General features: G+C 41.9%; 1 protein-coding gene across 11 annotated transcripts in view, besides 2 other annotated features; it reads left to right on the top strand.

Annotated features, from left to right (window-relative positions):
• Positions 1-16,271, top strand: part of TRANK1 (tetratricopeptide repeat and ankyrin repeat containing 1) — a 118,926-nt gene that overhangs the window by 13,360 nt on the left and 89,295 nt on the right. Inside the window, exon 2 of one of the 11 annotated variants that reach the window (XM_047449325.1) lies at positions 1,913-2,056. The exons of 8 other annotated variants lie outside the window; for them this stretch is intronic. In XM_047449325.1, coding sequence (XP_047305281.1) covers positions 2,031-2,056 — 26 coding nt within the window. In that variant the 5' untranslated portion in view covers positions 1,913-2,030. Of the gene's footprint in view, positions 1-979; positions 2,057-7,317; positions 7,453-16,271 lie in introns of those variants that run through there. 2 more of the 11 variants (XM_011534289.3, XM_047449327.1) reach the window with 2 other exon arrangements.
• Positions 7,886-8,385: an enhancer, noted in NCBI's record as "H3K27ac hESC enhancer chr3:36965491-36965990 (GRCh37/hg19 assembly coordinates)". NCBI's record gives its function as "activates a minimal SCP1, AML or CMV promoter by ChIP-STARR-seq in primed H9 embryonic stem cells {active_cell/tissue: H9 hESC(primed)}" and the evidence as "EXISTENCE:reporter gene assay evidence [ECO:0000049][PMID:30033119]".
• Positions 8,386-8,887: an enhancer, noted in NCBI's record as "H3K27ac hESC enhancer chr3:36964989-36965490 (GRCh37/hg19 assembly coordinates)". NCBI's record gives its function as "activates a minimal SCP1, AML or CMV promoter by ChIP-STARR-seq in primed H9 embryonic stem cells {active_cell/tissue: H9 hESC(primed)}" and the evidence as "EXISTENCE:reporter gene assay evidence [ECO:0000049][PMID:30033119]".

Below are 16,271 nucleotides of genomic sequence, written 5' to 3'. Positions count from 1 at the left end.
TGGCCAGGCTGGTCTCGAACTCCTGATCTCAAGTGATCCACTCACCTCCACCTCCCAAAGTGCTGGGATTACAGGCGTGAGCCACTGCACTCTGCTGTGCATTTAACATTTCTATAGACAGATGCTGTACTGCTTTATCCGCCATGGCAGTATGTCAGTGAATCTCTACGCATAACCATGTTGATTTAAAGTATTTTCAGTGCCTTTCGATATATAGGAGTTTGTAATTTTCATGGATTCATGTCTGTTACTTTTTTTATGATTTCTGCTTTTGGTATCATTAGAATGACCTCAAATGTGAAGATTACATAAAACTGCACTAAAGCTCTTTTGAATTTATGTAATTCAAGAATCTAACAATATATAAAAAGGTTATGAAGAAAAGTCTCTCTCCTGTGTTCTCTGCCCCACCCTCCCAATAAGGGTAAATAATTTTATTTCTAGGGGATCCTTCCAGATTTTTTTTTAAGAGACAGATTTTCCTGCTCTGTCACCTAGGCTGCAGTGCAGCGGTGCAATCATAGCTCACTGTAACCTCAAACTCCTAAACTTAAGTGATCCTCCCACCTTGGCCTCCCAGAGTGCTGGGATTACAAGTGTGAGCCACCACACCTGGCCCAGAATTTCTTTATGCATATATAAGCAAATGCAAATGTATATTCTTTCTTTCTTTCTTTCTTTTTGTGACAGGGTCTTGCTGTGTTGTCCAGCCTGTAGTGCAGTGGCATGATCATGGCTAACTGCAGCCTTGACCTGGGCTCAAGTGATCCTTCTGCCTCAGCCTCTTGAGTAGTTGGGACTATAGGTGCGTGCCACCATGCCCAGCTAATTTTTGCATTTTTTGTAGAGATGAGGTCTCACTGTGTTGCCCAGGCTGGTCTGGAACTCCTGGGCTCAAGTGATCCACCTGCCTTGGTTCCCCAGAGTGCTGGGATTACAAGCATGAGCCACTGTACTTGGTTGCAAATATTAATAGATATTCTTATTCAGCCCCTCTCTTCCTTTCTGTACAAAAGGGAATGTAATATAAACACTGTTCTGCATTTGCTTTTTCAAATATATTTTGGAGGTTATCCTAGATCAATATACAGAACTGTCTTCATTCTTTTTTTTTTAACACTTAATATTTTGTTTTTTGGGGGGGTGCTGCACTTTAATTTATTGAATCAGTCCCCTGTTGATGGGTCTTAAAGTTGGTCCTAGTCTTTTATTATTACAGCAACATGATAGTGAATAATCTTACACATTTGCCATTTCCAATGTATGCAGTCAGTCTGTAAGATCCATTCCCAGAAGTAGAGTCAGTTGCTGCTTCAAAGGCCATATGTATGTGTCACTTTGTTAGGTATTGCTGAATGTCTTCCTAGAGTGGTTGAAGATTATCTAAAATCTGTACCTATATTTTCTGTTAGTGCTTTTCTTTTTCTCGGTGCTTTTTAAAAAATGAGATATTTGCATGTAATAAACAGCACAGATTTTAAGTTACTGCTCAGTGAGTTTTAACAAACATATGCACCTGTGTGGCCACCACCACAATGTCAAAATACACATTTCCATTCTTCCAGAAAGTTCACTGATACCCCTTTCCAGTCAGTCCCCCTCTCTTTTTTTGGCAATCACTGTTCTGATTTCTTAGATTTGCCTGTTATAGAATGTCATGTAAATGGAATCACACAGTTTATGTTCTTTTGTCTGGCTTCTTTTGCTCAACATAAACTTTTTGAGATTCTTCATGTTGCTGTTTTTATCAGCAATTTGTTCCTTTTATTGCTGTGGTATCATTTTCACACTGACTTTTTTTATTCATTTGGAACTAATTTTGGTGTATGATGTATATTAGTTTCCTATTGCTGCCATAATGAATGACCACAAACTTAGTGGCTTAAAACAACATGAATTTATTATCTCACAGTCCATAGGTTAGAAGTGTGGGCTAGCTTGGCTGGTTTCACATGGCGAAAACCAAGATGTTGGCTGGCTGAGTTCCTACCGGGAAAGTCTGCAAAGACCCCCTGCTTCCAGACTCACTCATGTTGTTGGCAGGATCCAGTTCCTGGTAGGTGTAAGACTCAGGTCCCCATTTTCTTACCGTCAGCTGGGAGCCTCTGTTCCTTAAGGTGACCCACGTTCCTCATCACTCCTCCCCGCTCCGCCTTCAAGGCCTGCAGTGATGGGCCCACTCCTTTTCATGCTTCAAATCTGCTGCATCTCAGCTGGGCAAAGTGGTTCATGCCTATAATCCCAGCACTTTGGGAGGCAGAGGCAGGTGGATCACCTGACATCAGGAGTTTGAGACCAGCCTGACCATGGTGAAACCCCGTCTTTACTAAATACAAAAAAAAGTTAGCCGGGTGTGGTGGCACATGCCTGTAATCCCAGCTACTTGGGAGGCTGAGGTTGTAGTGAGCTGAGATTGTGCCATTGCACTCCAGCCTGGGCAACAAGAGTGAAACTCCGTCTCAAAACAACAACAACAACAACAACAACAACAACAACAACAATCTGCTGCATCTCCCTTGCCCTCGTCTTTCCATGAGCCTGTCTGACTCTGGCCACAGGGCCACAGTCAAAGAGTTCTTGTCATTAGATTGCGCTCACCCTGATAATCCAGGGATAGTATCCCTAGCTTATGGTCTGTAATGATAATTACATCGGTAAACTTCCTTTTACCATGTAATGTAATATATTCATAGTTTCTGGGGATAGGGATCTGGATGTCTTTGGGGGAATTCATTACTTGGCCTGCCACATGGGGTGAAGTAGGAATTTAACTTATTTTCCAGATGTTTAGTGAGTTGTACCAAATGATTCACTCTTTTTCAATTTACTTAAAAAGCCACTTTTATTACATATGGCATGTGTTTCTGCTTTTTATACTATATATATTTATTGCTGGATATTCTACTTTGTTCCATTGATGTGCTTACTTTCATGTTAGTACCTGACTTTAACAATTTAATGTTTTATAGGCCCGGTGGCGGTCACTCACGCCTGTAATCTCAGCACTTTGGGAGGCCGAGGCAGGTGGATTGCTTGAGATCAGGAGTTTGAAACCAGCCTGGCCAACATGGTGAGACCAGCCAGGTGTGGCAGTGCGTGCCTGTAATCCCAGCTACTCAGGAGGCTGAGGCAGAATTGCTTGAGCCCAGGAGGCAGAGGTTGCAGTGAGCCAAGGTCTTGCCACTGCTCTCCAACCTGGGCAATGGAGTAAGACTCCATCTCAAAAAAAAAAAAAAAATTAATGTTTTATAAATATGTATTTTAAAATGTTAGAGAAGATTCCCTTTTCTACTCTTTTATTTATTTGTTTTATTTGATTTACTTTTATCCTTTAAGCCTCACCTGGAAGAAGATTCCCTCTTGATACTTCTCTTTTTATTAAAAATATCTTTGCAATTCTGGCTTATGTGTTCTTTTAGATAACCTTGACAGCTGCTTCATTAATTTCTTTAAACATTTTATTTTTTATAAATTGAAATTTTGCTGAAAATATACATTAATTCATTAACATGGGAGGACTTGACATTTTATAATAGTGAATTTGCCCAAACCAGAAACATGTTAGTATTTTAAAAATACTTTTTTTTTAAGTAAAGTTTTGTTTTTTCTCCATATAAGTCTTGAAAATATAAGGACATTAGTTCATATTTTGTAAGGAGCTTTTAAAAAATGCTCCTATGAGAATTACATGTATACTTTTCAAAATTAATGTTCTTCTTATTACCTTGGTTTTTCTTTGAAAATCTGTGTCTATATCCTCAGGTCACAGAGATACAAGTTATTTTAGTCCTGTATTAATTTAAGCCTGTAAACATCAAGTCATAAAGCAGTATTAGTGTAATTAAACTTCCCAGGAGTCCTGCTTCTGCTTTTCTCCCATAGTGAAATGTTCCATGTGTAATGAAGAATTTAATGAAAAGCATCTTTTGAAGTACTGGTTGGTGAAGGGACAAGAGTGAGTCAGTGTGTGGTGAGTGAAGTCCTAATATGAATATCAAGGGAAACAGGACTTTAAAGTTGGCTGTATTGAAAATTCTCAACAGCTAGTCAAATAGGGATCAGATCTGTAGAAAAAAAGACTTTTTCCCCATTCCCTTCACAAACAAAAAACCACGTTGCTTCATGAAATCATGTCAGAAATTTTTCTTCATTTTTGCTTTGCAAGGTCAACGGCGGTTTTATTGGGCGTACCTTGGTTTTGCAGGCCTTTGCTCTAGTTTTCAAGGGAACAAGTAGATAGAAACTTAAAATTAATGTATTTATGTGGGAGCTATGGGGCAAGAAACTAGTTTCCAGTTGTAATACTGTGGGCACTAATCAGGGAATGCTTGGAGAGATATGGGCTGGGTTTGCTCATCACAACCTGTGACCCCACATTCTATATCAAAATGCACCACAGAAGTAATTCCACGAGAATTTAGTTCCTGACTGCAGATATTCATCTTATGTCTTAGATTTGTGCAGGCTAGAAAGACAGCATGATTCTCTGAGGTGGGAATAGGATGGAGCATGGACATACCCAACTCCTGGGGCACTCCAAAATTTGGGGAAACAGCCCTCATACTCTCACACACAAGAATTGAAGGCTAAATTTCCACTGAGTAGAAAAATAATATTTGAGATGTTGCATCTGGCTTATTATTCTATGTGGAACTGCACTCTCCAAAACTTTCTCTAGATCTGCACTGTCAAATATTGTTGGGGGTGAGCGACCACTGGGCCAGTGGCGTGCAGAGAAAAGAATTTCCCAAGACAGTTGTAGGTGAAGAAGGGCAGATTTATTAGAGCAAGTAACTAAATGGGAGCTGACTGCCAGGAGACAAAGTCTTGCCGGGGATTTTATAGGATGGTTCTTAGGCTGCAGAATGCTACGTGGAGTTCTGATAAAACACCAAGGTTGCAGTGAGCTAACTTGCAGGTGTCTGGTGATAGTTGGGTGAAGGAAGATTGTAAGTTATTTGTGCAGGAGGGCTATGTGTCCTGGACCATGAAGAAAGGCAGACTTACAACTTATCTGTTGTCTGTTTTTGCTTTCCCTTGGTCCTGCCAGCCTGACTTCTTTTCTGCAATTAGGACTCCACATTCCTCCACTGACAGAGCAGCGATGACAAATCTTTGGCATGTGAGTGTAGGTCTCACCTTCACCTTCTTGCTGACCAGGGACGTAGAGTTGGCCCTACCTAGGATTGTTAGTCGGTCAGGAGGTTACATGGGCCTCAGTCCCTGGGTTGGGAGTTAAATTAGGCAGAGTCGCTGTGGGACCTTAGGGGAACAGCATTTGCAGCCTCAAATTTTGTTCTGCTGGCTCCAAAGGGGATTCATTAGTTCTTTTACTGGCTGATACCCTTGCTGCAGTAACATTTTGGTTTGAAGTTGTATTCTAGAAGACGCAAAACAAGATATTTCATGAACAATACAAGGTGCAAATAAACTAGTATAATCATTATTATAGGCAGGAGAAGTGGGGCCTGGCCTGACAAATAAGGTTTTTAAATATTAATGGGATAAGGGAAAATTGAGGAACAGATATAGACATATTAGTGAGGTTAAGAAGTTGCCCAGTTTCGACCCTTGTTCCTCTGTATTCTGTCCCATTTGCTGAACCATTTATAGGCATAAAGGAATCACTCTAAATTTTGCTGGCATTAACTTTGTTGTTTCCCAACCATAGAGAAAACCTGCAGAGGTACACAGTGAACTCGTTAGAGTTGTTGTTTGGCTACCATTCCTGGTACATTTGATTATAGTTAATGATGTAACTATAATGGGCTTGTGTTAAAGCCCCTAGGAAAGGGCCAGACCCCTTGGAGTTTCTGATGCAGAGGTGAGCCTTACAGGCCATTTCTGGTGCCTTCCCTATTTGCTTTGTCACGGTGGATGATTGCCATGAGGGATCGATTGGCCCAGGTCTCTCTCCTAGACCTGTGTTTTTGGTGTGCATGTAAACGGTATAGTCTAATCCAGAGTATTGGGCTTAACAATTTCTTCTGTAGATCATGGGACTGCTAAGAGTGTAATGTCATCCTCAAGTGCTTGTTTGCGAGGGCACATCCAGCAGTTAGTGCTGTGTGTTATGTTAGCAACCTGTGATGTTACTGAGTAGAGTGGATGCCTGCGTATAGCCATTGAGACAATAGTTAGCCATGATAGACGAATAAAAACAGAGCCATGTTTAGGGAAAATGACAATATACAGGAAACTCAGGAAGACAGGAAAGAAGAAGGGCTGTAAAGAGTATAAGAAAAACAGTTAAACGCAAAGTACCTCAGCACATTGTTGTTGTGGTGTGGGGGTATATGTCATTACTGGGACAAATATAAAGAAATTTTGTCTGGGCAGTAATCTTGGAAGTTTCCTTGCAAATAGCAATTGTATACTACTTCCCTTATAAAAGCATCAATATTAAGAGGGTGAAGCTGCTTAAGAGAGGTAGTTGGAGAGTTACTGAGAGCCTGCAGTAGAACTGAATAAAAAGAGTTAGCTTTAAGAATAAGATTCAACGGCCGGGCACAGTGGCTCATGTCTGTAATCCCAACAGTTTGGGAGGCCAAGGTGGGTGGATCATGAGGTCAGGAGATCAAGACCATCCTGGCCAACATGGTGAAACCCCATCTCAAAATACAAAAATTAGCTGGGTGTGGTGGTGTGTGCCTGTAGTCCCAGCTACTCGGGAGGCTGAGGCAGGAGAATTGCTTGAACCCGAGAGGCAGAGGCTGCAGTGAGCGGAGATTGCACCACTGCACTCCAGCCTGGGTGACAGAGCGAGACTCCGTCTCAAAAAAAAAAAAAAAAGAAAGATTCAAAAGAGGTATTGGACTTACTAACTTTTAAGGAAGGTTAAAAAAATTCTAGGTTCTTTGTTTAACAAAACTTCTTTTACCTTTTTTTCTTTAACTTTAAATGAGTTTCCAATGTTTACATTCTAGTTGGATCATAAATAACGAGTCTTATCTCAGCACCAGCAACTTGGTAACAGTAAATTTAAAGCAGACAGAAAAAAAAGAGGAAGATAGAGAACTTTAGATGATTCTACTTAACCCTATGGTGCAGGTTAACCATTTGAGCTCTGACTTTTTCTTATTGTAGTTTGCCCATTAGTTTAAAATGTGCACAAAACAGGCCATAATATGTAACTAGCTGGAGTTTTAAAAAGAACAATAAAATCAGAGGTTAGGATGTTGGAAACCATCTTTTCAATCTGGACCCCTAGATTGAACAGGAAAAGAAAAAAGAAAGGAACAGAGAGGAAAAGGTTAAACTTTACAGGAGAGTTTGTGTGCCTCCTGTAAAGTTTGTGTGAGAGTGCCTGGGTTACCCCCTTTCAGCCACTGAATGGTGTGGGGCCAATACCCCTAACACCCTTGTTTCTCTCCCATCAGGGAGAGCCTTAGCACCCCAGACCTTTATGGTGTGAGATGAATTCTTCCTCACCTCTGCAAGTTACCAGTTAAGGTGAGCTGTTTTTAGCAGGAGCAGAGAGCCTCTTTAGCTTAAGGCCACTGGGGTTTGGGATTCTGTCCGGGGGGGCTCCTTTGGCTCTCAGGGCAGTCCTGTTTCCAGTGGCCAAGCTTGTGGCAGAGGGGGCAAGCATGTGGGACTTTTTTTCATTTATTCAGTTGAGGTGCTTTGCCTTTTAGTGGCCTGGCCTTTCGCACCGGTGGCAGTTATCTGGAGGAGTGTCCTTAGGGCAACGAGGAGGGGGCTGGGGTCTTGTGAAGCAGCCAACAGTTGAGCCTGGTTTTTGTCTCTGCGTCTTTCTTTTTAGCCCTGTTCTCCTTATTCTGCTCTTGGTTATAAAAGACTGAGGAAGTTAATTTGATGATTTCTTTTGCATAAGGGTTATGCTGTGTTACACAAGAAAATTACACATTTCTCTTTTTTGAGAGTCTGAGAATTAAATTTGTTTTAATGCTTTAGAATGTAGCCCAGAGGTGAGTTTGAAGGATAGATGGGGTTTGTCCCATGGTGGGACTGGAAAACATGCTGCTTGGGAGCGGTGCCACTTCAGGGCACTAATTGCACTTTCTCTTGGGACATCCTGCCAAGATGAAAAGAGGGTTCCACTTGTGTCTGCTGAGGGACTTTGGGTGCACTTTCCAAAGGGGTGTTCCACCTATTAGAAAAGAGCACTTGGCTGCTAGGGGCCTTAACGCTGGACGGCCAGTCCAGGTACTCACTCTGGGTGATCAGCCCAGGTACGAGGAAAAAAGGGTAAAGGGTGATCTCACCTGGTGCCCGCCCAGGAGAGGGAGTGGGTAAGGGAACCCTCACCATTTTGAGGCTGTCCGAGGTCACCTGATTTAGCAATGTCCAAGACAGGATGGCTGGCTGACCCCACAGGAGAATGTAGAGTGAGAAAGAGAGCACCTGAGTTACCCCAAACGTGTGTGAATTCACTCTGGATGAGCTTCTGCTGCCAGATAGGAGAGAGAGTCTTCTTCCCTTCAGGCAAGGCAGCCAGCCCTGTTCACCCTTTGGCCTTCAGGCAGCACTGGAGAGCACCAGGATGGTTAAGAAGCCAGCTGCTGAAAGACTGAAAAGAGTAAGTGAACCCAGGTCCCTCACCCAATCTGGGCAGTGGCCGTCAGATGCTTCCACACAGTCACCTTTCAGTCCCACCAGAGTGTAGCTCCTGCCGGAGACCTGCAGTTGCCTCCATGCTTAGAGGCTATTCTCGGAGGGTGCTGACTGGAGAAAGGGAAAGAGAGAGGGGAGAGAGTTTCCTGTGAGGACAGTTCCCGTCCAGAGAGAGTTCCCCCTACAGGCCACCAAAATGTTGTGGGTGAGCAGTGACTATCCTGGTGGCATGGGGGTAAAAGAATTTACCAAGGCCAGGCGCGGTGGCTCACACCTGTAATCCTAGCACTTTGGGATGCCGAGGCAGGTGGATCACCTGAGGTCAGGAGATCGAGACCAGCCTGGGCAACATGGTGAAACCCCGTCTATACTAAAAATACAACAATTAGCTGGGCGTGGTGGCGCACGCCTGTAATCCCAGCCACTCGGGAGGCTGAGGCAGAAGAGTTGCATGAACCTGGGAGTTGGAGGTTGCAGTGAGCCGAGATTGTATCACTGCAATCCAGCCTGCACAACTGGAGCGGGACTCCACCTCAAAAAAAAAAAAAAAATTTACCAAGACAGTTGTAGGTGGAGAAGGGTGGATTTATTAGAGAAAATAGGAAAATATGTTACAAGAGGGCAACGGTCAGAATCAGCAGAAGAGGAGCTGACTGCCAGGAAACAAAGTCTTGCTGGGGATTTTATAGGATGGTTCTTAGGCTGCAGAATGCTACGTGCAGTGCTGATAAAACACTAAGGTTGCAGTGAGCTAACTTGCAGGTGTCTGGTGATAGTTGGGCAATGGAAGATTGTAAGTTATTTGCACAGGAGCACTGTGTGTCCTGGACCATGAAGAAAGACAGACTTATAGTTTATCTGATGTCTGTTGTTGCTTTCCCTCGGCCCTGCCAGCGTGACTTCCTGTTCCTAATTAGGACTCCACAGATAAGATAGCTACTAGCCACGTATGACTATGGAGTACTTGAAATGTGGCTAGAGTGACTGAGGAATTGAGGAATTAAACCTTTAATTTTTTTTTTTTTTTCTTTTGAGACAGAGTCTTGCTCTGTCGCCCAGGCTGGAGTGCAGTGGTGTGATCTCGGCTCACTGCAACCTCTGCCTCCTGGGTTTAAGCGATTCTCCTGCCTCAGCCTCCCGAGTAGCTGGGACTACAGGTGTGTGCCACCACACCCAGCTATGTTTTTTGTATTTTTGTTTTTTGAGATGGAGTTTCACTTTTTCACCCAGGCTACAGTGCAGTGGCATGATCTCGGCTCACTGCAACCTCCACCTTCTGGTTTCAAGTGATTCTCCTGCCTCAGCCTCCTGAGTAGCTGGGATTACAGACACCCACCACCACACCCGGCTAATTTTTGTATTTTTTGGTACAGACAGGGTTCCACCACATTGGCCAGGCTGGTCTCCAACTCCTGACCTTGTGATCCACCCACCTCGGCCTCCCAAAGTGCTGGGATTACAGGCGTGAGCCACTGCGCCCGGCCCTGAACCTTTAATTGTATTTAATTTTAGTTAAATTAAAATGTAAATAGCCATGTGTGGTTACCACATTGGACAGAATGTTCCAGATAGAATAGTAATAGTAGCCAGATAGAATAGTAACTGTCACAGAGCTAATTGCCCTGCTTTCATTTTTTATTTATTATTATTATTATTTTTATTGAGATGGGGTTTCACTTTGTCACCCAGGCTGGAGTGCAGTGGCATAGTCATGGTTTACCACAGCCTTGACCTTCAGGGCTCAAGTGATCTTCAGCCTCAGTTTCCCAAATAGCTGGAACTACAGGTGCATGCCACCATGTTTGGCTAATTTTTTAATTTTTATTTTGTAGAGATGGGGGTCTCACTGTGTTGCCTAGGTTGGTATGGAATTCCTAAGCTCAAGCAATCCTCCCAGCCCAGCCTTCTAAAGTTTTGGGATTAAAGGTGTGAGCCACCGTACCTGGCCTGCTGTGCTTTTAGTTACAAGTAACAGAAAGCCTAACTTAAACAATAAGGATATGTACTAGCTCACCCTGTTGTTTGGCAAACCCAGCAGCTCCTACCTACATTCTCTTCCCTGGCCACCTACCATTATAGAGCCACATACTTATGTTTTTCTAGATTCCTATTTCTGACTAGTGAAATGTAGAGAAGTCTACTTGGGGGCTTTGGGAAAGTTTTATGAAAGAGATACGTGGTACCAGGGAGCCAGTGGTTGCAGGGACCCCTTCTTCCTGTCTTTAATGTGATGCCTGGAGTTATAGCAACCTTCAATCTTGAGGGGACAAGCATGAGGGCACAAAGCCAGTGTGCTTAGGATGGTGTTACAGAGAGATAAAGAGCTGTACTCTTACTCCCTTACTTCTGATTCTGTGAGAATGTTACAAATAAATTTTCGGTGCCGCAAGGAAATAGCACTGGAACATAAATTTAATTTTCTCAGCAAGGCAATTTTTACTTCTATAGGAGGATGTGACTCGTGAATGGAGTAATGGTGAGAGCACACCTGGACAGGGGAGGGGAAGGGATTCTTATTCCTGTCGCAGGTAGCCCCTACTGCTGTGTTGTTTCCCTATTGGCTAGGGTTGGACAGCACAGTCTAAGCTAATTCCAATTGGCTATTTTAAAGAGAGCAGGAGTATGAGCCAGAGTGGTGGGGTTAACAGTTTGGCAGGAAAGACAGTTATGGAACAAGTAACCGAAGGTGACTTAGGTCAGAACAGGGGACCGGGGGTGACTCAGGTCAAAGCAGGTAACCAGGATGAGTCAGGATGGAGCAGGTGACCAGGAGAACAGATGTGAACTACTGATTAAAACTGGTGGAAAAGGTTGTTTACTGAAACTACGAGGAAGTTAAACTTTAAAATGGAGGACAAAGAACTGAACATGCTGACATACTGATTCTTTGAAGAGAAATTTAGAACTCATTGTATCCAATAAGAAAATTACACAACCCCCAACTCCTCGTTTGCTGCCAAAGTCATCCTAACTGATGCACCATATAAGTAGAAGTCCAGAGATAGGGCAGGCCTCAGGATTCTCCCCAAATTGATGGCTCCCCACTATTTTCCTTTATTTTCTTGGGCCCTGTCCTTTTCTGTCACTGTTGGTTTCATCCTGTGAGTGTTGATTTCATCCTTACGCCGGAAGCAAAATGCAGCTGAAACGTAGGGCCACACATTTACACATCTCAGTGTCAGGATTCACAGCTTCACTTCCACACTGGACAGTGCTCTGTGTAATAGAGAGATTCTCTTCTAGAAGCTTATCCAGAATGATGATAAAACACTGTCTTGGAATCCTCCAATAAACATCTTTTTAAGTTTCAGGGGCCAGAATTGTGCCCTACACTCAATACTGAACCAGTTTCTGTCAGGGAGATAAATTTGCTCATCAGACCCTTAGGAAGTAAGGGTGGAGTCAGCTTCCCTTAAGTCTAAGGAGCTTGGGGAAGAGAGGCACATAACAGAAACAAATCTGGGACTCAGTGAGGAAGGAGTGGCCACTTCAAAGGTCCCAAGAATGGTTCACTGTAGCCAAATGGGTAGAGTGTCAGAACTTCCTAAATTATAAATATCATTAACTGTTACTAAGGGTCAACTTTCAAGTATCTGACATAAAAGTTTAACCTGTTTTTAGTTTTTTAGAAGAATATTTCCTGGCACCACGCTGTCACTATAATCTAATGAAATATCCTTAGCCATTTATTGGTAAAGCATTTTAAGAGAATTTATTTCCTGAACTTATTATAGTTTGTGTACCGCATAGGAGAATGATGGCTGTCCAGTGTGCAGGTCAGAGTCCATTCTTTCCTCTGCTATTAGCAATATTGCAAGAACGTGAGCTACAATGGGCCTGGCATATTGTCATCTAGTGGTTAATTATTAAAAACAAAACAAACAACTCTTCTAGGATTGGTTCTATTTGGAGCTTCACAAAAGAGGACACTCATATGGCCAATAAAAGGCACACAACATTATTAGTCATCAGGAAAATGCTAATTAAAACCACAATAAGATACCACAGTGGCTAAAATTAAAAAGACTGATAGTGCGCAGAATTGACAAATGTTGGCAGTTTATATACACAAAACACTGCTTTTGGGAGTATAAATTGGTTCAACCACTTGGAAAACTGGCAGTCTCTACTAAAAGTAAATAGCACATCTTCCCTGTCACTCAGCAGATCCACTCCTGGGAAGAAAGGCAGACAAATAACTCACTGAAAGACATATACAGGATCATTTATAACAGCTTTATTCACAGTTGTCTCAAACTGGAAACAATTCAAATGCCCATCAACAGAATGGATAAGTAAATTGTGGTATATTAATAAAATCAAACACTACACAGCAATAAGAGAAAGGAGTTACTGATATATACAACAATATAGTTGAGTCTCACATGGATAATCTTTAAGGAAAGAGGGAACCCACTATGTTATTATGGGGTTCAAGAACAGGTGAAACTCATTTATAGTTTACAGATCAGAATAGTGGTGAAGAAGGTGGGTTTAGACTAGGAATGGACAAGAGGGAACCTTCTGGAGACCTGGAAATGTTCTATATATTCACCCAGGTGGGAGTTAGATGGGTAGATGGGTATAAAAATCATAGCTGAACACCGAAGAGTAGTGCATGTTACACGCATTATACTAGGTTTTGCCTCAATAAAAATGTTAAAAAAAATTGGGCCCATCAAGATAATGGGATATGACAGACCTCTACTGTACGTCTTTGTTAATATTGCACAGTAATTGTTGCTGTATGTTGTTTGACCATTTGACTGTAACCCCACATATCCTTATTGCATAATATAGTTTTTTATGGGCACATAAATTATACTTTGAATACTGCAAACCCACCTGCCTGTGATGCCTGCTGGGGGATATTTTAACTGTCATCTTGTCAGCGGGGCCAGGGTCTTAGGATGGCTCTGTAAGTAATTAGTATCTTGGCTGCTTTTACTTTCCTGAATGTGCATGTAAATCAGTACTACTACAAAACCGAGGAAACTTTGATATCCTGCCATCTTTTGGGTATCATGATGTAACATAGTGTGCGTAAGGAAAATCAGTAATGTTTCTGTCAGACTTGGAGTAGAAATACAAGTCCAGAACATATTTGTTTACATTGGCGTTTCTTTCTTTTTCTTTCTTTCTCTCTTTCTCTCTCTCTCTTTCTTTCTCTTTCTTTCTTTCTTTCTTTCTTTCTTTCTTTCCTTCCTTCCTTCCTTCCTTCCTTCCTTCCTTCCTTCCTTCCTACCTTCCTTCCTTCCTTCCTTCCTTCCTTCCTTCTTTCTTTCTTTCTTTCTTTCTTTCTTTCTTTCTTTCTTTCTTTCTTTCTTTCTTTCTTTCTTCTTTTCTTTCTGGGTTTTTGCTTTATTTTCTCTTTACTTAAAACAAATTTTAACTGTGGTAAAAAACACAAAACATAGTTTGCCATCTTAACACTTTTTAAATGTATAGTTCGGCAGTGTTAAGCACATTCATATTGTACAAACGATTTCTGGAACTTTTTTATTTGCAAAACTGAAACTCCATATTCATTTGACAACAACTTCCCATTTCTCCTTCCTTATAGTACCTGGTAACCACAGTTCTACTTTCTGTTTCTATGAAATTGACTATTTTAAGTAGCTCATATAAGTAGAATTGTAAAATACTTGTTTTTTGGTGACTGGCTTATTTCACTTAGCATGATGCCCTGAAGGTTCATCCATGTTGTATCTTGTGTCAGGATTTCCTTCCTTTCTAAGGCTAAATAGTACTCCACTGTATGTATATGCCAAATTTTGTTTATATATTCATCAGTAGATCTTTTGTTTACATTTAACACCCTTTCCTCCATCCCTCAATTTCCTCTAGGGTAGTGTTACTCAAGCATTTTTTCATTATAGCTCCTCCCAACCTTTTCAGACTTTTAGCTAATCTAGCTTCCCACCCCCTATGAAATTTTAATACCACAGATAATACTGTATATCCTTTTTTTTGTATTGTATGTATATCTGTGCTTTGTGCATGAAAAGAGTAAACATTTTTACTCCCCAATATCCCATTTTCTTTCCTTTGGGGGCAATATTGCCCCATTGAGAATGCATGCTATAGGGAAAACCAACTCCAGATTAATACATACAGAGGTAGCCCCAAGTTTACTAAATACTTGGTAATGAAAGAAATGGTACTTGGAGAAAATCTTAAACTCGCCTCTCTCTTCTCTGCTCCCACCAAACTTCCAACATCTCCTGCCCTCCCTTAAACAAACAGATAAATACACAAAAAGAAAGAAAGAAGTTCACCTCTTGATCTTTCCTGGTCCTGGTACGGGGATGACCTCTCTTTTAGAGGGGCGAATGGTTCTCTGTGTCTCCTGCCTCCTCCTTCCCCTGCTGTTGTTGCTGAAACACTTTAATGGGTTGATGACACCATATTTAGCTCATAATGTATATTGTCCTATAGAATATATTTCTTTTTTCCCATTTCATGAAAAAAATATAGAATATATTTCTATTTGGTTCATCTTTGACAGTTTTAAGTTTATCTATTCGAGGCTTTTGTGTATTTCCCAAATTTATGTGCTTTATAGAGCATATACTTTGCCCCATTAGATGCAGTGGTATTGCAATAGTTATCCTCAGGGAGGTAGGCTGTGTGTGTGTGTGGGTGTGAGTGTATGTATTTGTATAAAAGAAAATCCAATATTACATGCATTTGGCCGGGCACGGTGGCTCACATTTGTAATCTCAGTGCTTTGGGAGGCTGAGGTGGACAGGTCATTTGAGGTCAGGAGTTCGAGACCAGCCTGGCCAACATGGTGAAACTCTGTCTCTACTAAAAATTAAAAAATTAGCCAGGCGTGGTGGTGTACATCTGTAATCCCAGCTACCTGGGAGGCTGAGGCAGGAGAATCTCTTGAACCTGGGAGGTGGAAGCTGCAGTGAGCCAAGATTGCACCACTGCACTCCAGGCTGGGGGACAGAGCAAGACTCCGGTCTCTTCAAAAAAACAAAAAACAAAAAAAAAAACAAAAAAAACCCATACATTTATATTTGAAACCAAAGCCCCTGTTTCTGTAATGCAAAGTAAAATTTGGCTAAAAGCCTTGGAGTTCATTTCTTTTGCCTTCCACTCTCAAGCCCATGAAATTCATCAGGAACTCTTATTGGCTGCTCTTCCTGCATCCATTTTACATTGGCTTATTTCTCTCCATCTTGCCTTCAGCCAGGATGATCTGGAAGTATCAATTGGATCTTGGTTTTTTTATTTTTTGAGACAGAGTCTTGCTCTGTCACCCAGGCTGGAGTGCAGTGGCACGATCTTGGCTCACTGCAACCTCTGCCTTCCAGGTTCAAGCAATTCTGCCTCAGCCTCCTGAGTAGCTGGGATTACAGGGATGTGCCACCATGCCCAGCTAATTTGTATTTTTTAGGAGAGACGGAGTTTCACCATGTTGGTCAGGCTAGTCTTGAACTCCTGACCTCGTGATCTGCCCGCCTTGGCCTCCCAAAGTGCTGGGATTACAGATGTGAGCCACTGTGCCAGGCCAAATTGGATCTTGTTAATCTGCAACCTAAAACCCTCTAGTGTTTTACTGTTCAATACGGTAGCCACTAGCCACATGTGGCTATGTATTGCAAAGTTAATTAAAATTAAGTTAGATTTGAAATTCAGTTCTTCATTTGTACTAGTCATATTTCAAATGTACAGTAGCCAGT

Source organism: Homo sapiens, chromosome 3 (genome assembly GCF_000001405.40).
Source record: "Homo sapiens chromosome 3, GRCh38.p14 Primary Assembly".
Taxonomy (NCBI): domain Eukaryota; kingdom Metazoa; phylum Chordata; class Mammalia; order Primates; family Hominidae; genus Homo; species Homo sapiens.
The sequence above is the reverse complement of the archived record's forward strand: the minus strand, read 5'-3'. Positions and strand labels throughout refer to the sequence as shown.